Here is a 27327-nt window from a genome sequence, read left to right on the forward strand (position 1 = left end):
AAAACTCCATCTCAAAAAAAAAAAAAAAAAAAAAGAATCTCAAGGTCACTCCTTGAGATTCTAGTTCAGTGGGCCTAGAGTAATGCCATTTGAAAAATACTGGTCTAGCCAGCAGTTTTTCAGACTTTCAGTAGGACAACCTTCCTTCAGATGAGGCCTCCCATAGTCGGGTCAGAGGCAGAGGGTTCTGCCCTCCACTCCGCATAACCTCCTCACCCTGCTCCCACCTCCCTAGAGTCTATGGGGCTCCACTGATCTAGACCATCTAGTTCTTTTTTTGAGACGAGTCTCACTGTGTCAGCCAGGCTGGAGTGCAGTGGCAGAATCTCGGCTCACTGCAACCTCCGCCTCCCGGGCTCAAGCAATTTTCCTGCCTCAGCCTCCCGAGTAGCTGGGATTACAGGTGTGTGCCACCACGCCCGGCTAATTTTTGTATTTCGTATTTTTAGTAGAATACTAAAACAACATGGTTTCACCATGTTGGCCAGGCTGGTCTTGAACTCCTGACCTCAGGTAATCCCCCAACCTCGGCCTCCCAAAGTGCTGGGATTACAGACGTGAGCCACCACGCCCAGCCTAGACCATCTGGTTCTTGACACAGTATAGAAGAGGAAACAGGCTCAGAGAAGCAGTCTGGTACAGTGGGAAGAACACAGTCCCGAAGCTCTCCAGAGATTTGTGTACATAGTGTTTGAGGGTTCTGGAAGAGGAGGCTGAGGACCTGAGCACACTCTAGAAGAGAGGTGACCTGTTAGTTCCTCCTTCATGTAGTTTCAAACAAGTATTCCTGGTCTGTGGTCAGCGCTCCTCAAATGTTGGATTTGAGGACCTGCGCTCTTCCCGAGTGATTGTACTGTTTTCAACACCAGCTTCAAGCTGGCAGAAGGAAAAAGGGAGTGAAGACACACCCCTTCTTGAACCCCCCAACAGTCTAGATCTCAGTGGAGGGCTGTACTAGGGCCAGCTAAGTTGCTTGCCTCCACCATGTTCTCTCAGCTTTGAGGCAGAGATGATAGATGTAGAGCAGTGCACTGTGGTGACCCTTGGCATCCAGATACAAGACAAGGACATGGAGTGATGACCACTGTTTGTAAGTGTTGGTGTCATGGTGTCCCCCTCCAAAAATGTTGAAGTCCTTCTAGTGCCTTAGAATTTGACCTTAGGCTGGGTGCTATGGTTCATCCCTGTAATCCCAGCACTTTGGGAGGCCAAAGTGGATAAATTGCTTGAGCCCAGGAGTTTGCCCAGCCTGGGTGACATGGCAAAGCCCCGTCTCTACTAAAAATACAAAGATTAGCCAAATGTGGTGGCACGTGCCTGTAGTCCCAGCTACCTGAGAGGCTGAGGTGGAAGGATTGCCTGACCCAAGGAAGTTGAGGCTGCAGTGAGCTGAGATTGCACCACTGCACTCCAGCCTCAGTGATAAAGCGAGACCCTGTTTGAGAAAAAAAACAGAAAACGAAGATTTGGCCACAAAGACAGACATACCTAGAAGGCAATGTGCAAACAGCCACCTGATGGGGGCAGGATTGGGGTGATGCGTCTGCCAGCTAAGGGATGCCTGAGGCTACCAGAAGCCAGAAGCAGGTGGAACAGACCCTTCCCCAGCTCCTTCAGAGGGAGCATGGCTCTGCCACAGCTTGATTTCAGATTTCTGGCCTCAAGAACTATGAGACAATAAATTTCTGTTCTAAGCCAGCTAGTTCATGTACCTTCTTACAGAAGCCCTAGGAAGCTAATATTTACTGGCAATTACTCAAATCTTTTTAAACATCATGCAGGTCATGAACGTCCTGTTTGCAAACTCTGCTGAAGGGGAAGAAGGTGTGATCACTGGTTGTTTATCCAAAATCCAAGATGAGCCCAGTTGAAGGAGGAAGCGAAATACACAGGGCAGTGGACCCTCCACATCCAGAAGGTCCCAGCCAACCCTAAGGAGGGGAGTCTCATGGGTCTTCAGGGCTCTTACCCAGGCTTAGGAGGAAGCTACCACCAGGAACCTCTGGTCTCGCTTTTCCCTCCCACTACAAGCCACTTCCCCTCTGGGAACCTTGGTGTCCTTGGTTATATGGTGAGAATAACAGAATTTACCTCACAGACTTGTTAAAGGATCGAGGTTACAAAAGCATTCTGCGAGAGGCTGTCTTTCCTCCTGGAGGTGGAGGCAACAGACATGGAGAGCTTGGGGCTCCCACTTGGCTGGGAAATGGGGGAACATTCTCCCTTCTCTCAAGGTCATGAAGCTGGGAAAGTTCTAAGCACAAACCGAGCCCTGACACCAGTTGTGGCTTCCAGAGAAGTGAGAATGATAATAAATAAGTGTAAAAAGAGTCAACAACACACCCTTTAAGCCAAGAAAAAAAATACATCAGGAGGGACAGTCACAATTGAGTAGACTGAGAGGAGGCGTGAGGGGCTGGACCAGAGGGCCAGGAGGGAGCGAGGCGTGATGGGGTGAGGGCCCCCCTCCCAGCGCCTGGAGATGGGGAGGAGTGGAATAGGCTGTGGGTAGCAGCTGCTGCGAGTCTCCACCCCGACCAAAGCAGCTGCTCCTCCTGTGCCCAGGCCCAGCCCATGCTCTGTGGCCATGCACCTAGCAGGCACCTAGCGGGACAGTGGCGTCTGCTTCAGGGACATGAGCACCGAGCGCAGGCGGGACACATCTTTGCACTGCTTGCTGCTCTTGGGGTTGAAGTCACATAGCTGGGCCACCTTCTCCCACTCTGTGCCTGGGGTCTCCTCCTTGGATTCCTTCACGAAAGCCTCCTCGGATGCCCTGCGGGTGGAGATAGGACGGGCTTTTATAGCAGTCTGCTTTCCCCCAGCCTTGCCCTTGAGCAAGGCTGCTTTGCCCAGCCTACTCTGGGGCACTGTGTCCTCCCCAGCCTTGTGCCCCCCTGACTTCAGAGGAGGGCAGCCTTGGCGCAGGAGGAAGCCTAGCTTGGTCCTGCCTCAGGACCTTGGCACTTGCTATCACCTCTTCCTGGAACACGCTTCTCCCAGACCTGTTCCTGGCTTGCTGCTTCTTGTCATTCAGGTCTCAGTGCGGGCCTCACCTCCTCAGAAAGTCTTCCCAGCCTAGGCACCCTCTGTTCATTACTTCCCCATCGGGAGTTCCCAACCTGAGGTTCCTGACACCTAAAGACCCTTGGAGGTCCTAGGACGACCTAATGCAGGACCTTAGCTATTTCACCATTTCCAAAAACTTGGCAGAAGTAGGACACTGACTAACCATCTAACAGAAGCACCTAGTTCAGCATTGCCTGAATGTTCTGTGTGAGGATTCTCCAGAAAGACTGTGGTCAAATACCTATGGAAAACCCAGCTAAAGAGGATCTTTACAGCAAGACTTTCAAAGCCTTTCATGTGCTGTGTGCGTCGTGACCCTCCAAGGTGTGTATGTGATGGAATCCACCACATCCCAAGCGTCTTTCACCACAGAGCCCTTTGTAGCCCAGAACCACCACTGTCTCTGAGGAGCCACAGCCTGGGGCATGAATGCTCCACTGGAGTCTGCTTTTGGTTGGAATCAAGTTAGGATGAAAACTGGCGGTCCTTCATCAGAAGTTCTGGTTGACAGTCACAGAAGCCACTGACTAAGGGACAGTGGGGAAACAAGTAAATACAGTCTAGTGGACAAAATCTACACGTGGGACTCACTAACAGAAAGACAATAAGGGATTCTTAGGTGAGGAGAGCTGGGTCTATGTCCTGTTTGGCCAGCGAGGGTCGCTCACAAGTCCCTGGAAGCCCCCTCTCCATCTCAAGCAGGACCAGTTCTGCCGATGCCAGACATGACTGATGGCAGGAGCGCTCCATGGAAGAGCTGACCCCGGATCAGGTGACCTGGCCCCTCTCTAGGGATGCTGGCTGTATGCTCATTTCCTAGCCTGTAAAATGAGGATCATAGCTCTGCCCTACCAACTATTTCACTGGACTGAGAATTCAATGAGGTAGCAAGCAGGTCTGGAAAAAAGGAAAGTGCTGCGTGGAGCTGGGTGGCAAGTGGGGATGAGGGGAGCTATCCTCGGAGCTGTCCCTTCAGGGTCCAGAGGCTCCCCTCTGTCCTTGCAGCTCAAAGCGTCCATGGTCCAATGGCATCAGCATGACGACAGAGCCTGTCAGAAATGCAGACCCTTGGGCCTCCCCACCGTCCTGCTGAATCAGAATCAGGGTTTTCACGAGACCCCCTGGTAATTCATAGGCATGTGAAAGTTTGAGCCTGGGCGCAGTGGCTCACTCCTGTAATCCCAGCACTTTGGGAGGCAGAGGCGGGTGGATCACTTGAGGTCAGGAGTTCGAGACCTGCCTGGCCAACATGGTGAAACCCCATCTCTACTAAAAATACAAAAAATTAGCTGGGTGTGGCCAGGCGCGGTGGCTCATGCCTGTAATCCCAGCACTTTGGGAGGCCAAGGTGGGCGGATCACGAGGTCAGATGGAGAGCATCCTGGCTAACACGGTGAAACCCCGTCTCTACTAAAAAATACACAAAATTAGCCGGGCATGGTGGCGGGCACCTGTAGTCCCAGCTACTCAGGAGGCCGAGGCAGAAGAATTGCTTGAGCCCAGGAGGCGGAGGTTGCAGTGAGCTGAGATCATGCCACTGCACTCCAGCCTGGGTGACAGAGCAAGACTCCGTCTTAAAAAAAAAAAAAAGTTTGAGAAGCCCTGGTCTATACTCTCTCTTCAGGGCTCTCCTGGGTGCTCTCTGGGCCATTTCCTCAGGCTCAACAGAAGCATCGAGCCCCCTGTGGTATTCCACAGCACCCATGCCCATCTGACATCCCCATCCCTTGCTGGAAGCCTCCTGTGGCTCCCCACTGCCTTCTGGATCAAGTCTGAGCTCAGCCTTGGCACAACAGGCGCTTTGCAACCAGCCCCAAGCCAACCACCTCCCAGCCTCAGCTCCCACCCATCCCCACCATCCCCACCATCCCCACCATCCCAGCCTGTAGAGCTTCAGCCACTGCAGCCAGCTGGGCCTTTTCTCTCTGGATGCCTTGGCCCCAGCTGCTCCTCCCACCTTCTCTTCCCACCCTCCCTATCCAGCAAACTCCTTCTCACACTTTAAGGTCAGCTGAAGGTCTTGCATCTCTGAAGCCTGCCCAGGCTCCCCAGGCAGAGAGTGGCTTCCAGAGCTCACTGTGTCCTTCCACAAGGCCCTTATCATAACACACTCCAGACCATGAGCACGGTGAGGGGGGCGGCCTGTGGGTGTCTTACCAATCTGGCACAAGGCGAGTGCCAAAGAGTACTAAATGAGGGAGAGTGGAAGGAAGCAGACGAAGGCTCTGGTGTGCTCTGTGCCCTGTGAGAGGAGGCTTAGCCTCGACACATGACGGGCTGCCAGGGCACACCTAGAGTGAAGAACAGCAAGTACCTTCTCTTCAGCTCCACAATCCCCACCACCACCCTCCAGGATGTCTCTACCAACTAACTGACGTCGGCACGAGATATAACCTGTTTGCCAACCCTGGTCTTGATTACTCATCACACCAAGTAGACCCCAAACCTGAAACATGTGAGGGGGCCTGTGGTGGTCTGGGCAGGGGCTGATGGCCAAAGTCAGTGCACTGGGGCAGGAGGAAGAGATGGATGTCACAAAGGAGCAGCTCTTGTCCTTTACATGCCTCCAGCATCCCATGCTCAGTGTCTGTTTTGTTGAATAAAAGACCCCTTCAGCTGGGTGTGGTGGCTCATGCCTGTAATCCCAGCACTTTGGGAGGCCGAGGTGGGTGGATCACCTGAGGTCAGGAGTTCGAGACCAGCCTGGCCGACATGGTGAAACCCCGTCTCTACTAAAAATACAAAAGTTAGCCGGGCACGGTTGCATGTGCCTATAATCTCAGCTACTCGGGAGGCTGAGGCAGGAGAATCGCTTGAACCCAGGAGGTGGAGGTCGCAGTGAGCCGAGATCGCAGCACTGCACTCCATCCTGAGCAGCAAGAGCGAAACTCCATCTCAAAAAACAAAAAACCCTTCACCCCACACACCCACCAAGAGACATCACAGAGGGAGGGAGTTGGGGTGCTCTGCCATTTGCCCCTCCCACATGGGAATAAGTGGCAAGCACATTCCTTTCTCTGCCTTTATCCTGCAAGGCTCTGATTTAGCCAAGCAGCCTCCACTTCACTGGAGGGAGGGAGGTGGTTGCTGCCTGCACCCACCAGGGCATTTGCCTCCTGTTCTGACCATTGCTCCGAGCCCAGCCACACTCATTTATATCCCACAAGCAGGAAACTCAAGAAACTGTGGTGGCCATTCCCTCTCTAGCTCCCCCAACAGAGAAGCAAAACAGACACGTACACGTAGCCGATGATATCAGCATCTGGCTGCTGGTAGAATGCTTTGTCAGCGATCCTTGAGGGAAAGGTTGAGGGAAGGGGTTAGGTGGGGGAAGGCAGATGGCAAGACAGACAGGCAGGCAGAAGGTTAGAGAGAGAGAGAGAGACAGCATTAGTACCTCCAGTGGGAGAAATGTTAGGAAGCATAGTTCTGGAAGGCTCAGCAACGACCCACAGCCCCAAACAGGAGAATGGGGACCTTCACCCTGGCCCCAGCACCTTCTCTAAAATTCATCCCTGATCATGTTACTCCTGTTCAAACACCTTCAGTGGCTCCCCACTGCCCATGTCACTGCCCAACTCATCAGCCAAGGCCCTTACAGTGTGAGTCCACAGGTTCCTGCCTTCTCTCCCACCGCTCCCTGGCCCCCTGTTGCCTAATACATCACATTTTTTTCTTCGTACCCAGGTCTAGAATGCCCCCCTACCTCCTGCCCTTTTTTCCCTTTTTTCCTCCTAGTCATCTTCCAAAGCCCAAGTCCCAAGACACAGAGGTCTCTCCCTGACCTGTTTCCTTGCTTCCATGGCCTTCGTGCAGAGGGCCCTACTGTATTTGAGCTTAGTTGAACATGTGTGTTTTTCTCCTCTGCGCCCTTTGAGGACATAAGGCTGGGTCCTCCTTATCTCCATCTCCTCCGTGCCTACCCCAGAGCCTGGCATGCAGCAGTTCCCTAGACAGAAGGGTAGCTTCCCAGAACAGGCCTTTCCCTTCCTGGAAGACCTTGTACCGTGAAGGACAGAGCCTCAAAGGCAGGGAGCACTGGGCAGTGTTCAGTCATGTCCCCACAGCCCCTCTCATGTCCCCATAGCCCCTCTCATGTCCCCACAGCCCCTCTCATGTCCCCACAGCTCCCTCTCATGTCCCCACAGCTCCCTCTCATGTCCCCACAGCCCCTCTCATGTCCCCACAGCTCCCTCATGTCCCCACAGCCCGTCTCATGTCCCCACGGCCCCCTCATGTCCCCACAGCTCCCTCATGTCCCCACCCCTTCATGTCCCCATGGCCCCCTCATGTCCCCACGGCCCCCTCATGTCCCCACAGCCCCCCTCATGTCCCCATGGCCCCCTCATGTCCCTACAGCCCTCTCACCGGTTGTTGATCTTGTTCTTCTCTACTTGTTCACTCTGGCGCTGGTTCCACTCCTCCAGGTCCTTCTTGGCCTTCTCCCGCCATTCCTGTTCCGTGACCTTAGATGCAGCATCTAGGACCCCACAAGAGAATGAGTGGCTGCTTTCCAGCTGGGATGCACAGGCCCGGCCGCGCTCCTCCCCTGGCCCCTGCCAGGCAGCCACAGGGCCGCACCGGCCCAGTCCCACATTAAGGCATGCAGCATCCCATGCACTCCGAGGACTCCCCACACTCCACCCCACACACAGCCCACCCAGCCAACCCCGCCTCAGCCCCGCCCTCACCCAGCTCTTGCAGCCGTTTCCTCTGCTCCTCTCGCCACTTGCGGATGCTCTCAGGCTCCTGGGTCAGCCTGTCAGCCTGGGCAATGGCTGCGTAGCCATCAGCAGGACCGTTGGCCTCCTAGAACACAAACACGCAGCAGTCTATCCAGCCAGCACACCTGCCCCGCTGTCTCTGCTGCCCCTGCTGGGGACCCACTCATGTCTGGATAACTCAGCCTCAAACAACCTCATACCCACTGTCTCTGGTGACTACACCTATCTTTGCACTTGCTGTTCCCTCTGCCAGCAACACTCCGCCACCTGTGTGACTGCGGGCAAGTTACTCACCCTCTCTGTGCCTGATCATTGCCTCTGGCCCAGTTATAGGTTTTGATACCCCCAAAGCAGAAGACTCAAGAAAGCGTGTGCCAGCCACTTTCTTTGTCATAAAATGGGCTAAATAACAGTATGCACTCTGATGGGAGGACATAAGGATGAAATGAGTTAAAAATTATAAAGAATGTCGGGCGCAGTGGCTCACACCTGTAATCCCAACACTTTGGGAGGCCGAGGCGGCAAATCACCTGAGGTTGGGAGTTCAAGACCAGCCTGACCAACATGGAGAAATCCCGACTCTACTAAAAATACAAAAAATTAGCCAGGCGTGGTGGTGCATGCCTGTAATCCCAGCTACTCCGGAGGCTGAGGCAGGAGAATCACTTGAACCCGGGAGGCAGAGGTTGCAGTGAGCCGAGATCACACCATTGCACTCCAGCCTGGGCAACAAGAGCAAAACCCCGTCTCAAAAAATAAACAAATAAAAATAAAAAATAAAAATACTGCTTGGCACAGTGAGTCCCTTGTGTTACCGTCATTAAAATCACTCTCTATTGTGGTTGTATTAACTCCTAACACTTAGTCCAAAAAGACCTCAAGACCTCACTTTTTTTTTGAGATGGAGTGTCCCTCTGTTTCCCAGGCTGGAGTGCAATGGTGCAATGTTGGTTCACTGCAACCTCTGCCTCCCAGGTTCAAGCGATTTTCCTACCTCAGCCTCCTGAGTAGCTGGGATTACAGGCACACGTCACGACACCCGGCTAATTTTTTGTAGTTTTAGTAGAGACGGGGTTTCTCCATGTTGGTCAGGCTGATCTCGAACTCCCGACCTCAGGTGATCCACCGGCCTCGGCCTCCCCAAGTGCTGGGATTACAGGCTTGAGCCACCGTGACCAGCCCAAAAGGACCTTACTTTATAATGTGTTTGTCTGTCTCTGCCATCAGAATGTCATCTCTGTCCTTTTCACTGCTATGTCCCCAGAGCCCAGCACAGTGCCTGGCCCAGCAGATGCTCAGTAGATGTTTGTTGAGTAGAGAAGCATCCCTGAGATATGCAGCATGATCATAGCTCAGATCACACCATGGGAAAGAACTTGGACTCTGCAGCCAGGCTGTCTCGGTTCAGATGCCACCTCTGATACTATGAAATGTTTGTAAGGCCTGGGAGAAATTGCTTAACCTTGCCTGACTTTTGTTTTCTCATTTGAAAAATGGGGCTGGGCATGGTAGCTCATGCCTATAATCCCAGCACTTCGGGAGGCCAAGGCAGGAGGATCACTTGAGGCCAGGAGTTTAAGACCAGCCTGGGCAACACAGCAAGAGTCTGTCACTATTTTCAAAAAAGTTTTTTTAATTATGGAAAAAAAGGCCAGGCACGGTGGCTCACGCCTGTAATTCCAGCACTTTGGGAGGCCGAAGCGGGCAGATCACTTGAGGCCAGGAGTTTGAGACCAGCCTGGCCAACATGGCGAAACCCCGTCTCTACTAAAAATACAAAAAATTAGCCAGGTGTAATGGCTGCTTAGGAGTCTGGGACTTGGGAGAATCGCTTGAGCCTGGGAGGCGAAGATTGCAGTGAGCAGAGATCGTGCCACTGCACTCCAGCCTGGGCCACAGAGTGAGACTTGGTCTCAAAAAAAAAAAAAAGAAAGAAAAATGGGAATAGACCGGGCACAGTGACTCACACCTGTAATCCCAGCACTTTGGGAGGCCAAGGTGGGTGCATCACATGAGGTCAGGAGTTCGAGACCAGCCTGACCAACATGGTGAAACCCCATCTCTACTAAAAACACAAAATTAGCTGGGTGTGGTGGCCCGCACCTGTAATCCCACCTACTCGGGAGGCTGAGGCACAAGAATCACTTGAATCCGGGGCGGGGCAGGGGAGGCTGCAGTGAGCCAAGATCACACCATTGCACTCCAGCCTGGGCAATAAAAGTGAGACTCTATCTCAAAAAAAAAAAGAAAGAAAGAAAGAAAGAAAAAAAGGAATAATATTAAGAACACCTCTAAGAGCTGTTATGATTTAATACTATAATATTTGTGAGATATTTAGAAGAGTGCTTGGTGTGGAGTGATGGCTCAGTGAATAGTAGCTAGAATTACTACTATTATTATTCATTCCCATTTTACAAGGGAGGAAACTGAGGCCCAGAGACATGGCACAACGTAGTGGCAGAGCCAGGACTAGAGTCCAGGTCCCTGACTCCCAGGCAGGGGCTCTGCTCACGTCTCCCCACCCCTTGCCAGAGCTGGGGACCCAAAGCGCTGAGCACCGTGAGCTCTGCTCACAAGGGTGTGGCACCCTCTGGTCTGGCAAAGCCTTTCCAATCCAGGTCCAGCCACACCCGCTCTGGCACCCACGCCCTCCGCATTCCTGTCTGCAGGCATCCCACTCCAGCTACCCGGCCTTTGTCTCCTGGCGCTTCTGTCTCCCCTCCCAGCAATAGTCTCCCCTCCCTCCTCCTTCAAGCACTTATCAAAACTTCCATGACTGCCCGCGTTGTTTGACATCTTCTCCACACAGGAGTGTCTGGCACACTCTCTGTCCTACGGCGCCCACCTATCCTTAGTGCCTGGCAGGTGCTCAGTAAGCAGTGGCTGAATGAGCAAAGACCCCTGGAGCCAGCAGGCACCCGGTTCAAGGAGGAGCTCTGGGAGAGGGAACACATAGATGGAACATCAGGGCTACAGTCTCCAGCTGCCTGGGGAGTGAGGGAAGGGCAGGCCAGGGCAGGCCAGGACAGGGGTGCAGCCTGGCTCCTGGGATCATCGGGGCAGCTGGGCGCCACCCTTACTCCTCTCCAGCACAACACTGCATTGCAATTCAGAGACTCTCTCCCAACATCCCAGTGGGCCCTTCTGGGGCCCTTCTCCGGAGAACACAAGTTCACTGCTGCTCCTTTCTGGGAACAATGCTTCTCTGAGGCCAGGATACCAGGGACTCCTCCCAGCACCGCTGCCCAAACCTACCGAGCCTTCCATCTGCAGACAACTGCACTGTTACTTTGTGTATATGGGTTTATCCAGGTGCCCTATTTTATTTTCTTCCCAGCACTTACCTCTATCTGAAATGACTTGAGAGGTCAGAGAAGTTGGAAATAAAAATAAAAATACAATGAAGGCATCCATCTGACCACCACCCAATCCCCACTCCTTGAGCAAACATGTACTGAGCCCTTTCTCTGTGCCAGCCCATGTGGGTGTTTTGACAGGAATCCTGAACGTCACTTCACTTTTCATTCCCCAAACTTGCCCCACCCTCCGTCTGAGAAAAAGGCACCACAGTGCCCTTGTAGGGGAGGAGGAAGGGAAGAGAGGGTCATATCTGAGCACTGTCTTTAGGGTGACATCCACATGGCATCGAGACCTCAGCCTTTAGGTCTATCAGAAAGGGCAGTGGGGGCTGCCTCCTGCAATCGTCACTCACTCGCTCGCCTTGTGTTGCACAGCATTTTCACAAAACCTCCTTTGCTTTCTTGGATTTTTGTTCCAGATGTTAAAATGAAAACAGCGACACTGAACAATTTCCCGAGGGTGCTGAGGCCCCAGCCTCCTGTTCGTCCTTGATTTCTCCTTCCTTCCCATCCCCCGTGCAAGTCATCAGCAGGGCCTGTCATCACAATCTCTAAAACTCTCCCTCCTGCCCTCACCGCCCCTGGCCTGGACCACTGCTGGTCTCTGCTTCCTGCAGCCCCATCTCCACAAAATGCCCGAATGACCTATTCGGAGTCTAAATCCGATTTATCATGTCACACTTTAAAATATCCAAAGGCAGCCGGGCACGGTGGCTCGCGCCTATAATCCTAGCACTTTGGGAGGCTGAGGCAGGCAGATTGCCTGAGCTCAGGAGTTCGAGACCACCCTGGGCAACGTGGTAAAACCCCATCTCTACTAAAATACAAAAATTAGCCAGGTGTGGTGGCGGACGCCTGTAATCCCAGCTACTCAGGAGGCTGAGGCAGGAGAATTGAACCCGGGAGATGGAGGTTGCAGTGAGCCGAGATCGTGCCACTGTACTCCAGCCTAGGTAACAGAGCGAGACTCTGTCTCAAAAAATAAATAAATAAAAATAAAATAAAACATCTGAAGGCTCCCTATTATGGCTAGAACAAAATTCAAGTGATCTGGTCTCTCCCTGGGCCTCTGATTTCTGTCCTCTATTCGTGCACTCTTGCCACACTGGCCTTCATGCAAGCTCATCTTGTATCCCCTCAGAGACTCTGTCTGGAACATTCTTCCCCTAGAATCGAGGGTCTACAGCTTCCTAGGGCTTCCCCTGCCTCCTGATTGAGGCCTTGGCTTGTTTACCTGTTTATTTTCTGTGTCCTCCCCCTTCCCTCCCTGCCATGAGGGCAGAGGCTGCCTGTTTCCATACAGCACCCAGCACCGGGAGGGCCTGGCTGCAGGAACCTTTCAAGAATACTGAATGAATTCATAGATGTTCAGGCTTGGGGACAGGGACGAGCAAGACACCTTCCAGGAAGTTGGGACAGGGAGTCCCTCACAAATGAGAACCATGGCTGGGGAAACGTGAACCTTGCTGGAACACAGTTCAGATAAAGAGAGTGGGGAAGGGAGGGCACCATTCTCGCCTGGGGACAGAGTACAGTAGGAGAGATGGGGAAGGGCATTTCAGGCCAAGAGCCAGCACGTGTAAGAATCACGTGGGCCTGGAGCCTTTGGGAAATGGATACACAGATGCTGCCAGATGTGGGAGGAGAGGAGTGGTGAGGGGCCCTGAACAGGAGTCTCTTTTCATCTGTATCCTTCAGGGCCCGCCATCTCCATAAAGCCTGCCCTAATTTTTTTTTTTTTTTTTTGAGGCGGAGTCTCGCTCTGTCGCCCAGGCTGGAGTGCAGTGTCAGGATCTCGGCTCACTGCAACCTTGGCCTCCTGGGTTCAAGCGATTCTCCTGCCTCTGCCTCCCAAGTAGGTGGGATTACAGGCATCTGCCACCACACCTGGCTACTTTTTTTATTTTTAGTAGAGACGGGGTTTTGCCATGTTGGCCAGACTTGTGTCGAACTCCTGATCTCAGGTGATCCACCCACCTCGGCCTCCCAAAGTGCTGGGATTACAGGCGTGAGCTACTGCGCCTGGCCAAGCCTGCCCTAAATTAAGACTCCAGAGAACTTGCATTTAAAGGGCTTTCTTTAATCTTCGCAACCCTACATGGTTGGTTTTTTGTTTTTTGGTGTTTTTTTGTTTTGTTTTTTTTCTTTTTTGAGATGGAGTCTCGCTCTGTCACCCAGGCTGGAGTGCAGTGACGTGATCTCGGCCCACTGCAACCTCCGCCTCCCGGGTTCAAGCAATTCTCCTCCTCAGCCTCCCCAGTTGCTGAGATTACAGGCGCCCACGACCACGCCTGGTTAATTTTTGTATTTTTAGTAGAGACAGGGCTTCACCATCTTGTCCAGGCTGGTCTTGAACTCCTGACCTTGTGATCCACCCACCTCAGCCTCCCAAAGTGCTGGGATTACAGGCGTGAGCCACGGTGCCCGGCCTGTTTTTGTGTGTGTGTGTTTGTTTTGAGACAGAGTCTCGCTCTGTTGTCCAGGCTGGAGTACAGTGGCGTGATCTCTGCTCGCTGAAACCTCCGCCTTTCCGGGTTTGAGAGATTCTCCTGTCTCAGCCTCACAGGTAGCTGGGATTACAGGTGGGCACCACCACACCCGACTAATGTTTTATTTTTAGTAGAGACAGGGTTTCATCATGTTGTCCAGGCTGGTCTCAAACTCCTGGCCTCCTCTGCCTGCCTCAGCCTCCCAAAGTGCTGGGATTACAGGCATGAGCCACCACACCCAGCCAAGTTTTATTCTTTTTGTTTCACAGGTAGGTAAACTCTATCTCCAAAGAGCCAAGGTCACCCAGCCAGGAAGTGGCAGAACCAGGATTCAAACTGAATTGCTGGGTGTGACTCGCCACATAGTAGCTAATAGGGCCCAAAGTCACTTCTGTGACGCATAGTTTGTGTGCCTGCTTGTCTTCCTCTCAAGACAAGACTAGAGACTGGGTCCCCAGCTCCGGTTGCCCCCAGGTCTCATGGCCCGCCTTCCTCTGGGACGCACCCCCACACACCACCCTCAGCTCGCCTAGGGGCTGGGTCAGGAGTTTGTGAGAAGCGTCCGGGGCTGCAGAGCACTTTTTTCCACAGCCCTTTGGGGCAGCGGAGCGGAGCCTCTAATTCGCATTTTACAAATGAGAAGCCAGGCTCAGAGTAGTTAAGTGACTAGCCCACAGCCAGCCAGCTGGGAAAAAGCAGAAAGTGAAGTCCAGGTCTTCTGACTCCATCTAAACCTCCGCTGCAGCCTGCAGTCTGGGTGTGGGAACAGCCTTAAGGAAACTCAGCCCCCACGGTGTCCTGCCCCAGTCCCAAGGTGCCAAGCCTGGCCAAACTGGGCCCACATCTCCGCCACCTGCCACCAGCTGCAAGGCCCACTGATGCACTCTAGTGGGGGCTATGCAGGGCTCACCCGAAACCTTTGGCCTCTCCTGGCACGTCCCTTTGTGCAGCAGGTCCCGGGCTCCGGTGAACCCCGGAATGAGTGACCGACCCTCTGTGGCTTTGCACATGCTCTTCCCTTGGCCTTGGCCAAGGCCACCCACATCCCCCTGGGCAGCCTCAGAACCCCCTGCCAGTGTCCCCTCACAGTTGCATTCCCTAACTTTAGTGCAGGCTCTGGCGCCTGATCCTGGATTCAAGTTTTACCTCTTACTAGCTACACAACTCGAGCGAGCTGTTAAACCTCCTGTATAAAACAGGAATAATGACAACCAACATCACAGGGAGTTGGGAGGACTCAGGGAGATCAAGCACGTAAAGCCCTTGGCTGGTGCCTACACAGAGAAGAACTCAATCTGTTAGCTCCTAATGCTTCCCCAAAGCCAAGCCCTCACCTTCCTGGGCTCCCATTCACTTCTTTCACTTCTTTCCCTGTCTTCTATTAGAAGCGAGTTTGGGACCAGGTGCAGCGGCTCACACCTGTAATCCCAGCACTTTGGGAGGCTGAGCAGGAGGACTGCTTGAGCCCAGGAGCTCGAGACCAGCCTGGCCAATATAGCGAGACCACATCTCCATAAAAAAATTAAAAAATTAGCCAGGCATGGTGGCCCTCCCTGTAGTCCCAGCTATTCAGGAGGCTGAGGCAGGAGGATCACTTAAGCCCAAGACTCAAGGCTGCAGTGAGCCATGATCACACCACTGCACTCCAGTCTCAACTACAGAGCAAGACCCTGTCTCTCAAAAAAAAAAAAAAAAAAAGAAAAAGAAAAAGAAAAAGAAAAAAAAGAGAGCTCTTTGGAGACAAACTATCCAGTGGATTTGCCTCCATATCCGTTTATTCACTGCCCTAGCAGGTGTGTGGCCATAAAAGAATGTGCACTGACCAAATGAATGAACGACCAAACGTATAAACCAAATGAATAAACAAGTAGCTGGGTACACAGGGGCGTGGAGGGCACGGGACGAGCGCTGGACACTCCATCAGAGGGGCTGGGCTTTACATCCCCCTTCTGCCACTCACTGGACTCGCGACCTTTGAGAAGTCCCTTCCCTGGGCAGCTTGGCTTTCAAACCTGTTAAATGAGTGACAATATCCTACTACCGGTGGGAAGTGAGGCTTACGAGATGCTATGGTAACACTCTGCAGCCCATAGAGGGCGTGTGCGTATGAGGGACAGCATGGCTGCTGTGGCCTGCTGTTCCGGTGTGGCAGGGCCCCACACCTGCTGGCCCTCCGTGCACCATGACCAGGAGAGCACAGTGGTGCTGCTGGCAGGCAAAGCCCCGAGAAGCAGTCACCACTCATTATTTCCGGGCTGCTCAGAACTTATTTTCCTGCCCCTGTCCCCACCCCTACCCTTGCCAGTGACAGTGTCACGGGCCACAACTGGGCTCTCGTTTAATCACCTGAGCATCTCAGTGGGGAGATCAGTCATGGCCAGGAGGGTTGGCAACCAGGAGAGATCACCAGCGGCTAGAGCAATGTTCTGACTCCTCCCAAGCTCTGGAGAGAGAAAGGGGCAGGAATGGCCAGGACCAGAAGGCAGGAGGCGACAGTCAGGGCCAGGCTTGTCTCAGTCTAGCTCCCTAGAATCCCTCTCCTGAGGGGCCCCTCTGCTGGGCCCACCCATGAGAACCTCTGTGGACCCACACCAGCCAAGCGTGTGCTGCGACTCCAGGGATGGCCAAGAGGATGAGCCACATCCTTCTTTGGGATTGATCAGCTAAATCTAAGCTAAGCTGAGCTGCTGATTCCTCTAAGAAGCTAAAAGGAGGATGATGGGAGTATTAGGGGAAAGGAGAGAGGATCTGTGCAGAGGTGGGGAGGCGGAGTCCTGCAGGGCCCTTCTGTCCCTGCCCCTGGCTGTGCCAAATGGAACTGGAATAGTTGTGGGCAGGCTCGTCCTTAGGCTGTATTGGCAACTGGGTTTGTAGCTGGACCCGCTGGTGGTGCACGGGCTGCAGAAAAGAGGAAGAAAGGAAGCACAAAAGCTCTGTCTGGGATCCTTGAAAGTGTTGGGTGTGCACAGGCCAAGGTTTCTCCTCCCCCTGCAGGTGCAGGCCAGACCTGCTATGCTCAATCCTAAAGAGCTGGGGCTTTCCACCTGTGACCCAGGCGCTGTGGCCAGCCAGTTCCAGCAACAGAGTCGTAATGCAAAGCACACCGGGTCGGAGCCCAGGAGATGTAGGCAAGCTGGGGCTTTGCCACTAAGCTTCTGAGTGATTCAGCTCATCTGTGACCCTGCCCTGCCTGTAAGGATTCTCGGATGGCACTGATGTGATATGATTTACAAATAAACACACCTGCTGTGATTCTTAGTAACAGTGAGAATAAGAGTTCTCACTCAGATTGGAAAGGAGGCCCCGGGCTCCTCAGATTCACCCACAGCTCACCCACGGCTGACAGGTCGGGAGGGAGAAGGCGGGGGGCCAAGTCAAATGGGGTGCACTCCAGAAGTGGCTGATTTCCTGGGTGACTTTGCATTCACCACTTCACCTCTCTGAGCTTCGTGATGCTAATCTTTAGGAAAGGTAAATGATCCAGCTCAGAGTGTTCTAGGTACTTTCTTTTTTGAGACAAAGTCTCGCTCTGTCGTCCAGGCTGGAGTGCAGTGTGCGATCTCAGCTCACTGCAACCTCTGCCTCTGGGTTCAAGCAGTTCTCCTGCCTCAGCCTCCTGAGTAGCTGGGATTACAGGCAACCACTACCCTGCCTAGCCAATTTTTGTATTTTTAGTAGAGACAGGGTTTCTCCATGTTGGCCAGGCTGGTCTTGAACTCCTGACCTCAAATGATCTACCCACCTCAGCCTCCCACTGCTGGGATTACAGGCGTGAGCCACTGTGCCCGGCCATGTTCTACATACTTCTGTGGTTCCAAGCATATCTCCAGCTCCAGGTGCACTTTAGGACACAGAACTGTGGGGTCAAGCAAAGTCCTTCTGAATGTGGCCAGAGAGCCTGGGCAGCCTAAGTCTTAATGATCTACCAAGCTGCACAGAAGCAAATCCTCATTCTTTGACTCCCTCGGGCCCAACTAGACATGAAGCTGCTGAAGTCCTAGAGATGGACTTTTCCAGCTTGCTGATAGTTGAGTAATTTTCCAGAAACAGGACTTGGCCAGTCTCCCTGCATAAGGTACCAGCCCATCCCTCTTACATAAGAAAATAAGTATTGTTTACTCCCCCAGAGGATTCAAGAAGCCAGCTCCTCCAGGGCGGGGCTCAGAAGATCCCACAGCCAAAGACCCCAGGATCAAGGCTCTTTGGCCCAGTCTGAGTGGGAATGAAGGCTCTGAGGGGAGGTTTAGCCCCACCAGGCATCTGGCTGGGGGGCCGAGGTGAGGACTATTGCATGCCTCTGTGGTCTGAGTTCCCTCAGAGTACTAAAATGGATTTGTGTGTATGCAAGGGGAAGAGAGTTAGGTGGGTGCGGACAGAAGCAGTCTTAACTAGAAATACACTTACTAGGGTTTTCCTCTTTTTTTTTTTTTTAAGACTGTCATGCCGGGCACGGTGGCTCGTGCCTGTAATCCCAGCACTTTGGGAGGCCGAGGTGGGTGGATCACTTGAAGGTCAGGAGTTCGAGACCAGCCTGGCCAACATGATGAAACACCATCTCTACTAAAAATACAAAAGATTAGCTAGGCGTGGTGGCGGGTGCCTGTAATCCCAGCTACTCAGGAGGCTGAGGCAGGAGAATCACTTGAACTCAGGAGGCGGAGGCTGCAGGGAGCCGAGATCGTGCCATTGCACTCCAGCCTGGGCAATAAGAGCAAAACTCCATCTCAGGAAAAAAAAAAAAAAAAGACTCACCCAGGCTAAGTGTAGTAGTGTAATCATAGTCACTGCAGCCTGGACCTCCCCAGCTCAAGCTGTAATCCTCCCACCTAAGACTACTGAGTAGCTGGGACTATAGGCACACACTATTGCCCCAGCTAATTTTTCATTTTTTGCAGAAATGGGGTCTTACTATGTTGCCCAGTTTGGTCTCAAACTCCTGGATTCACATGATCTTCTCACTTTGGCCTCCCAAAATCTGGGATTACAGGCGTAAGCCGCCGTGCCCGGCTGGGTTTTCCTCGTTTTTTGCAGGATAAAAACACTTAAAGAATTTGTAAACAACCCAGTGAAAGTGAATGCCCCTTTCTTATCCCCATCCCACCCCACCCTTGGGGCTAACCATTGTTAACAGCTGGTACACATCCTTTCAGATATGTAGTGCAAACCTTTAGTTTTATTTTTTTGAGATAGAGTTTTGCTCTTGTTGCCCAGGCTGGAGTGCAGTGGCGTGATCTCGGCTCACCGCAACCTCCCACTCCCGGATTCAAGCTATTCTCCTGCCTCAGCCTCCCAAGTAGTTAGGATTATAGGCTTGTGCCACCACACCCAGCTAATTTTGTATTTTTAGTAGAGGTGCGGTTTCACCGTGTTAGCCAGGATGGTCTCAATCTTCCAACCTCATGATCCACCTGCCTTGGCCTCCCAAAGTGCTAGGGTTACAGGCATGAGCCACCACGCCCAGCCCAAACATATTTTTAAAATTGAAAAAAAAAAAAAAAAAAAGGACCATACTGTGTATATTATTCTGCAAGCTGCTTTTTCCACTTAATATATTGTGGACATCTTTTCACGTCAATACAGGAAGATCTGATTGCCCTTTTTTTTTTTTTTTTTTTTTTTTCAGACAGAGTTTCACTCTCATCTCCCAGGCTGGAGAGCAATGGCACAATCTCAGCTCACTGCAACCTCCACCTTCTGGGTTCAAGTGATTCTCCTGCCTTAGCCTCCCGAGTAGCTGGAATTACAGGCACCTGCCACAATGACTGGCTAATTTTCTGTATTTTTAGTAAAGACGGGGTTTCACTATGTTGGCCAGGCTGGTCTTGAACTCTGACCTCACGTGATCCACCCACCTCAGCCTCCCAAAGTGCTGGGATTACAGGCGTCAGCCACTGCACCCGGCCCTGATTGCCCTTTTTAACAACAGCCTGGTTTTCTAATCTATCTATTCAGTTCCCTGATGCTGGACACTTAGGTTGTCTCCAAATTGTCTGCCATTATAAATAACCCTGCAAAGAATCTGGGTGGCCTTGTCCAATTATTTCCTTTGGGAAAATTCTGGAAGTGGAATCTCTGGATCAAAGGGCCCGCCCTGTGTGTGGAGATGGCCTGGGTTCTGCCTCCCGTCAGTGGTGAGGGAAGGCCTTGCGCTGCCTTCATCTCATGCTGCTGTGGGCCACTTGACCTCTCCCTCCCAAAACCAGACATCACCATGGGCAACCTGAGGCTACTGCCCATCAATCTCGATCTCTAGTGGTCCTTATTCTTCTTCCCTGCCCTCTACATGACAAAAAAAATTCCAAAAACCTTTCTCTATGTTTCCACCCCAATGCATCAGACATAATGAACAGGAGAACCTGGAGCTGTAAGCCTACAACAATGAGGCTTTAGGTTACTGAGACCAGGGCTGTTGGTCCTTACCACTGCTGAGACAGAGCCTTGCTTACCTGAAACACATCTCCATTGACTGTGGTCCCCATGTCCTCAGAACCAGCTGGAAAGAGAACAAGGAGATAGCATTACTCACTGTTTAGCTTATAGCAAGCAGGAAATGGTCCTACATTAGCCCCTCAACCCAAACTCTGTGTATACCCATGTATATATCGACCCACATGCAAACAGACATAATGGATATATATATAACTTAGGCTCAATCCCACCCCTGACTGTTTATAAAGCCTCTCACAGCCATTAGTACATTTTATGTTCACCACAGCCCTGCAATGAAATTGTTGTCAACCCATTTTACAGATACTCAAGCTGAGGCTCAGAGAGGCCATGCTCAAAATCACCCAGCCAGTAATAGCTCCTTACCTACCTGAAATCACTGACCCCTGGCCATGGCTGGGAATGGCCAGATTACCTGTGAAGCCTGTGCCTGGTGAGTAGGCTGAGCTGCTGTAAGCTCAGGGCAGGGGCTACACTGGATAAGGAAGAGAGGGGCCTACGCGTCTCTGCCTGTCCCTGAGGCGCCTTGAGCAACTGCTCCTCCTGGGTGAGCAGGAGTTGCAGTTCCCACCAGAAGCACCTGGCATATTTTTTCTCTTTGTGCCCCTCCCAGAAGGAATTAAGTTTGCCCTCAGCAGTGACTCCTCCCTGTCCCTTTCCTTGACATTTGATTAGTCACAAATTCCTGGGGCTTCTGCTACAACACTGACATTCACAGTTGCCCTCCACTCTCTCCCGCAGCTCAGCCCCAGCCCAGGACCTCACCACCTTGCACCTGCACAACTGCTTTGCCCGCTAGGGGCAAACACCTGGGAAGACATAACTGTGTCTCTTTCTCTTCTCCTGTGTCTTTCCCAGAGACTTGCATGCACCTGTGACTTTGCAGGTGCTCAATAATTATTTGTTGAATAAACAAGTAAATACATGCATGAAAGAAAGACAACGACTGCATGGCTTTTGCCCATTCACAGGCCCCCTTGACTCCAGCCTCTCCCATCCCTCTTTCAAACCAATTGCCAGGGCTGACAGTCTGTAAAACATGCACTTACCTGTGCCTCTCCTCTGACTCAAAATGTCATGAAAACAAACTCCAAAGAAATCCACTTCCCATGGACCACAGTGGCCTATAGCGCCTACTCCTGCCTTGGGGACTTTGCAGGTGCTGTTCCCTCTGCCTGGAAGGCTGCTCCCTCACTCCCTTCAGCTTCTGCTCAAATGCTGCCTAATTAAAGGCCTCCCTGACCACACCCCCATCCACCCCTTGGGCACCCCTTCCTATTCCTCCTGCAGTATTAAGCGCACTTACTACAGCCTGCTGTGTTTATTTGTGTATGTGTTTATTATCTGTCTTCCCCCAACAAACAGACCCTCCATGAGGGTGTGGACTTGGTTTCATCCATGATGAGGCCCACCTACAACAGTCCCTGGAACATAACAAGGACTCAATAAATATTTGCCAGATAAGTACATCTAACCCTGGAACATGAGGATCTCTACAATCTGGCCCTGCCCATTCCTGACTCACTTCCCACCAGCCCATCCCACAAACCCTAAATTCTGGTTTCCTCCTTCTCCAAACACACCACCCTCATCCCCATGCTTTCTTCCTGCTTCCCTCTCTAAAGAATGCTTTTTTGGGCCGGGCGTGGTGGCTTATGCCTGTAATCCCAGCACTTTGGGAGGCTGAGGTGGGCAGATCACGAAGTCAGGAGATCGAGACCATCCTGGCTAACACGGTGAAACCCCGTCTCTACTAAAAATACAAAAAATTAGCCAGGCGTGGTGGCAGGCGCCTGTAGTCCCAGCCACTCGGGAGGCTGAGGCAGGAGAATGGTGTGAACCCGGGAGGCGGAGCTTGCAGTGAGCCGAGATCCCGCCACTGCACTCCAGCCTGGGCGACAGAGTGAGACTCATCTCAAAAAAAAAAAAAAAAAAAGAATGCTTTTTTGGCTCCATTTATTCTCCAAGGTCCAGCTCATAAGTCACCTCCTCTGGGAAGCCCTCCTCTGCTTCCTTTACTTCCCTAGGCACTTACGGAAGGTCTCACTTCCGGGGTATCCCAGGATATCATACAGTATCCTGCACCCTCTTGTGCAATTACTCATGACCCCCAGGGTCCGTGTGTACCCCCTTACCAGGCTCCGTGTCCTATTCAGCTCCTCAGGGCTCCAGCACGGAATGGGTGAGCAGTAACTATTGGCTAAATGGAAGTTGAATTGTTGTTTTGAGGCCTGCTGTTATCTGCAAGGCTCTCAGAAACTGCTGTGCCTCCTAGCAAAAAGCCATGGAGGCCACATGAGGTTAATAGGCAGATGGACAAATAGCCCTTCACCAGCCAGACAGGGCTGTGAGCAGCGACAGTGTGTTTGGCCTGGGGACTCAAGGGAAGGGTACTTAATCCCATGGAAATAATCCCCGGGTGACATAAATCATAATTGACTTTGCTTTCAGAGTCAACCAGTGATTGATTCCAACCAACTCTGTCAGCTGTCACTCCCATTCCTTCAGATAAGGCTTCTCCTGCATGGGTGTCCTGGCCCCTAAATCACAGTGGGACCAATAGCATTTCAGTGGCAGCATCTTCTGCAAAGGGGCTTCTTCTGCTGGGGTGTCTCCTCTAGCAGGGCCTCACGTTACCAGGGTCTATTCCCTGTGATGCCGGTCTGTACATTTGGCCTTCTCGAGAATTTGCACCACCCTACTCCGCCCTGACCAACCCCAGTCTCAGACCCCACATCTACACACAGCTGCCTGGGGTCTACCCTGACCTTCAGAAAGTCTCTCTGCCTCAGCCTCGAGAGTGTTCCTCTGGACATGCAGTTTCGGCCTCCTTAAGAGTCCACACACACCTACACAGCATTCCAAGTACCTGTTCCCACAGTGCTCTCCACCCACCCACTGCCCATCTACCACCGGGAGTCCACACTCACAGGCCAGCAGAACAGGACTGAGACAGAGACACGTCCCAGGGATAAACCCCTGAGGGTTTGCTTCCCTCAGCTGCCTGACCCATTTTGGAACAAGGGCAGAGAGGGTCCAGAACATTCCTGTGAGCTTACGAGGCCCAGCGGGGGAAATGGGCTTGCCCAGAACTGACAGGCAAGTCAGAGCCAGGCCTGGTGCTCAGAAAACTGGGTGTGAAAATGGAAACCTACCCAAGGCTGATGAATGGAAACAAAGTGTCCATCATCCAGATCACCCAGGGCCACAGATCCAGCCAGAGAGGAGGGGCTCCCTGTGGCTCCAGCACAGGCCTACACCAGATACCTCTTTCCCCAGGGGCAACTGAGCCCAGTGTCAGCACAGAGATTGCTAATCTGAGGACCCCAACATCTAAGAGAAGGTGCCTCAGAGGTACTGACTGGCGGCCGCTGCTAAGCCAGCTTTTGCCCAGCTCTCAGCAGGCCAGGGCGCTTTTTCTCTGCCCCATCCAGGCTCCTGGCACACATCCCTGGTCAGGGGAAGATTACCTGTTCAGCACTGCATAGGCTGAGAAGGTCAGATCAATTCTAGCCCATCTGGCCATCCACTGAGCCGCCATCCCTCAACACCTCCCTGCTCCCCGATCCAACTAAGGAGGGCAGCTGAGCCTTTGCAGAGTCAGCAGGTATGCGCCTGGGAGACCCTCAGAAGGCTGTATCCCCGGCACCTCCCTGGAAGAAGCGAGCGTGTCATTGTTTCTCTCCCTGTCACCTCTGGTCTGAGGCCAATTTGTGCCCCACCCCTGCCAAGGACAGAACTTGCCATCCAGACTGTAAGTCCCTGGAGCCCCACCATCCTGGGAGAGGCCACAACCTGCTCAGCTCCCTCAGGCATCTGGCTGCCCTCAGCCTGAATCCCATCTTTTCTCTCCTGAGGTTCTCACAATGGCTCCCCTCAGCAGGACCTCCCCACAAGGCCTCCCTCCTCTTCCCTGCACCCCGACCCCAACAGGCCCCAGTGAGCCAGACTGAGGAAAAGGGTGGTCTCACAGAGGTGTGGTCCAGTGAATACTGGTGCATTAACTGGGGCAGGCATTTCTTAGGAATTCCCTGGGACACGGCAGATTCTGTATTGAGGTGCTGGAAGCTTCCACTTCAGAAGCCCTCCATTGCTGTCTCAGATAGGTGGCAAAAGACCCCATGCTTCTCACCCCACATCCTATCTCCTGCCAGGGAGGTGACTGCTATAGAATCTTTTTTTTTTTTTTTTTGAGACAGGGTCTCACTCTGCTGCCCAGGCTGGAGTACAGAGACGTGATCACAGCACACGGCGACCTACCTACACCTCCCGGGCTCAAGCTATGCTCCTGCCTCAGCCTTCCCGAGCAGCTGGAACTACAACTACAGCTACATGCCACCATGCCTGGCTAATTTTTGTATGTTTTGTAGAGATGGGGTTTCACCATGTTGCCCAGGCTCCACAGCATTTGAAAGAGCATGGAGCCCAGAGTTGGGAGGCGTGGGATCAAGTCCTAGATTGGTCATTCCTGGCTGTGTGACTCTGGGCAAGATACTCAGATTCTCTGGGCCACCGGTTTCTTGCATGTTACAAAAGCCTGGTTACATTTCTCATATCAAGGAGATACAGAGTTGCTTCAAACTCCTCAGCCACAGGAACTGTCTTATTCATTTCTGTATCCCCAGCGTCCTGACACACAGTAGGTGCTCAGTAAACGTTGAATGGATACAAACATGACTGTGAAGAGCCTTGTAAACATCATTAACCAAAATATGTCTATATGTATATATGTTAGCACTTACTACAACAGGCCCATAAACCTTTCCAAAATGACATCAACAGGAAGTAAAACCTGTTTTGGATGTACCCATGAAGGTGATATCTACTTTTTTACTAAATATTTTACAAAATCATTCTTGCTAGCCAGAACCAGGGCAGAAACATCATTGATAAAGATGATTTCACAGGGACTAGGCCCTGAACACTGAGGTCTGAAGCCAATCACAGTAAATCATAATAGCCCCGGACCACCTTTGGAAAACCATTAAGTCGACAACTACAAAACCCTGAAGGGCCCTACCGCATCTGACTGATGCCTCTTTGTGGCCCACACTCCGGTGTCTAACTCAGAGCCAGACACTTGGTAGGCAGTGTGGTCAGGTGGAGAGGGCTTCAAGTCCGACAGGAACAGGTTTAAATTCACGGCCAGGTGTGGTGACTCACACCTGTAATCCCAACACTTTAGGAGGCAGAGGTGGGAGGATTGCTTGAGCCCAGGAGCTCAAGACCAGTCTGGGCAACATAGCGAGACCCCATCTCAAAAAAAGGAAAAGAAAAAATATATATGTAAAAGAAAAAGAAACAGGTTTAAATTCTTGATCTGCCACTTACTAGTTATTTCAATAGCATACTCCCTTGAGCCTCAGTTTTACCATCTCTGAAATGGGTTCAATCACGTGTATGAAGTGATTAAATGTAACCAAGGCGCTTAGCCCAGCGACTGCCGAATGCCAGGCGGTCACCGGGGAAGGTTAGTGAGTTCCTGGAGCACCCAGGATCCTCTTTTTTCCCAGCTGCAGGAGAGAGCTAAGCCTGAGGGGCCAGGAGGGCTGTGTTCTGCCCACACCTGCACACTTAGCTGGGAGCCTGGGACACCCAGGCTATTAGGAGGCTCAGGAGGGACTCTCAAAACTGAGGTGGGGTTGGATTCCAGAGCCGGGCAGTGGGGAAGCTGGCCTGGGGATGAAATGTCATGACCGAATTCCTGTCCCGGGAGTCACCAGATCCACAGCCCCAGGCGAGGCCTCATCCCCAGCTCGGAAGTCCTACATGGAGATCTCCAAGAAGATTCTTCCCCACGTCTCCCAGCTCCTGCCCCGGGTGGCCTAGAGCAGGCTCTCTTCCCTGTGCCCCTGGGCCCCGGCCGGGGTCCCCCGGGTGCGCGCCCTGAGCCCCTCTCCAGGCCCCGCGCTGACTCACCCCCACTCGTGGGGCCCGGCTGCGCGGGGGCCGCATGGCTGCCGGCAGGTGCCCCGAAGCCCTCGTCGTTCTCTATGCCTGCAATCTCGCTCTCCTGCTGGGCCAGGAAGGCGGCCGCCGGGTCCTCCTCCGCCGCCTCCGGGGCACCGCTCTCCGACGACGAGAAGAAGCCAAAGTCATCAGCCATTTTCCCCGCGCCTCCGCCGGAGCCTCCGCTGCGCTCGGCTCTGCCCGCGCCTGCCCCGCGCTGCGTCCGGCGGCCGCGACGCTGTCACCCGAGCCGCGGGGGAGCCGGCGTCGGCGGGGACGGGCTTGGCGCGGACCGCACTTCCTCTCCGCCACCGGGCCCGGCTGGCTGTCACTGCGGTGCGGGCGCCGCGGCGGGAGGAGCGGAGCCGGAATGCGGTGACGTCACCGCGGGGGCGGGGCCGCAGGGCCGGGAGGTCGCCGAGCAGCGGCCGCAGGAGGGCGCCTCAGGACTGGGCGCAGCGCTGGGCCCGGGACCGGCGCGGCGCTTCCCTCCCTCCGCAGCGGCGCCCAGCTGCTCGCGTCGAGGACACCTGGGCTAGGCACTGCTCCCGCCCGGCCTGGAGGCGAAACGCAGGGCACAGAGTGGCCGTACCGTGCACAGAGCTGCGACAGGAGGCCACCTCTGGCCTCGGGAGCGCAGACCTGGCTCCTGATTCATTCTGCAGAAGTTTCTTCTCCTAGGTTGGGATGTCATGCACCTCATTCTATGAGCCTCCGCCTCTGTAAGAAGAGGAAAATTGAGGCTGGGAAAGGCTGCCCCGCACCTTTTCATGCAAGTCCAGGTCCTTTCCCACTAGGCCGTGTTGTTTTGTGTATTTTTTTGTGTATCTCCCTTGAGGAGGCTTCAGTTCATACGACCAGAGTTTGGATGGCCAGCTAGGCCCCTTAAATGTCCTTTAGGTATGAACCAGCCTGAGAAAGGCAGACCTGGTTTACCCAGGCAGCCTACCACTCTCCACGCTGCCCGCTGCCCTCTGTGAACAGGCTCTGAATGCCTCCTCCCTGCCTGCGCTTTGCCAAGCACCAGGACAGCAACGTTTTATAAAATCCAGCCATGGCCATGCGGAGATTACAATCCGGTGAGACCAACAGATGGCAAATGGCCTGTCAAAGCACTGTGTGTGAGGCGCTGTGACATTTAAACACGGGGTATAGGGAGACGATGCAAAGAAACACCATGGGATTTGGGCTGTCTGCTATTTCTAATGTGGGACTTGAAAGGCAACTATGAAATATGGACTGGAAGAGCGAAAGGAAAGATGTGCCGCCAAGTTGGGGGTGGAAGTGGAG

General features: G+C 53.0%; 2 protein-coding genes across 10 annotated transcripts in view, besides 3 other annotated features; one reads left to right on the forward strand and one right to left on the reverse strand.

Moving 5' to 3' along the window:
* Positions 1-24894, forward strand: part of ARL10 (ARF like GTPase 10) — a 49577-nt gene extending 24683 nt beyond the window's left edge. Inside the window, exon 4 of one of the 2 annotated variants that reach the window (XM_011534529.4) lies at positions 24284-24894. In XM_011534529.4, coding sequence (XP_011532831.1) covers positions 24284-24568 — 285 coding nt within the window. In that variant the 3' untranslated portion in view covers positions 24569-24894. The remainder of the gene's footprint in view (positions 1-24283) is intronic. The other variant, XM_011534530.4, reaches the window with a different exon arrangement.
* On the reverse strand, positions 2286-26400 carry CLTB (clathrin light chain B). Of its 8 annotated transcripts, NR_157088.2 has the most exons (7): positions 26008-26370; positions 20088-20134; positions 15988-16539; positions 7761-7878; positions 7438-7549; positions 6310-6363; positions 2286-2776 (listed from the first exon to the last, which is right to left on the reverse strand). NR_157088.2 is itself a non-coding variant. In XM_047416699.1 (6 exons), the coding sequence occupies exons 2-6, from the start codon at positions 20118-20120 to the stop codon at positions 2605-2607; spliced, it is 489 nt and encodes a 162-aa protein (XP_047272655.1). In that variant the 5' UTR covers positions 20121-20134; positions 21138-21308; the 3' UTR covers positions 2286-2604. The 8 variants fall into 8 exon arrangements, 6 of the variants coding, with proteins under 6 accessions (XP_047272655.1, XP_047272654.1, NP_009028.1 ...); NR_045724.2 differs by lacking the exon at positions 6310-6363 and having other exon boundaries at positions 26008-26400; XM_047416699.1 differs by lacking the exons at positions 15988-16539; positions 26008-26370 and adding an exon at positions 21138-21308.
* Positions 25873-25952: a silencer, noted in NCBI's record as "silent region_16650". NCBI's record gives its function as "represses an Ori minimal core promoter by ATAC-STARR-seq in GM12878 lymphoblastoid cells {active_cell/tissue: GM12878}" and the evidence as "EXISTENCE:reporter gene assay evidence [ECO:0000049][PMID:35858748]".
* Positions 26063-26162: a silencer, noted in NCBI's record as "silent region_16651". NCBI's record gives its function as "represses an Ori minimal core promoter by ATAC-STARR-seq in GM12878 lymphoblastoid cells {active_cell/tissue: GM12878}" and the evidence as "EXISTENCE:reporter gene assay evidence [ECO:0000049][PMID:35858748]".
* Positions 26203-26662: a silencer, noted in NCBI's record as "silent region_16652". NCBI's record gives its function as "represses an Ori minimal core promoter by ATAC-STARR-seq in GM12878 lymphoblastoid cells {active_cell/tissue: GM12878}" and the evidence as "EXISTENCE:reporter gene assay evidence [ECO:0000049][PMID:35858748]".

The sequence above is a fragment of the Homo sapiens genome, chromosome 5 (genome assembly GCF_000001405.40).
Source record: "Homo sapiens chromosome 5, GRCh38.p14 Primary Assembly".
Lineage (NCBI taxonomy): Eukaryota > Metazoa > Chordata > Mammalia > Primates > Hominidae > Homo > Homo sapiens.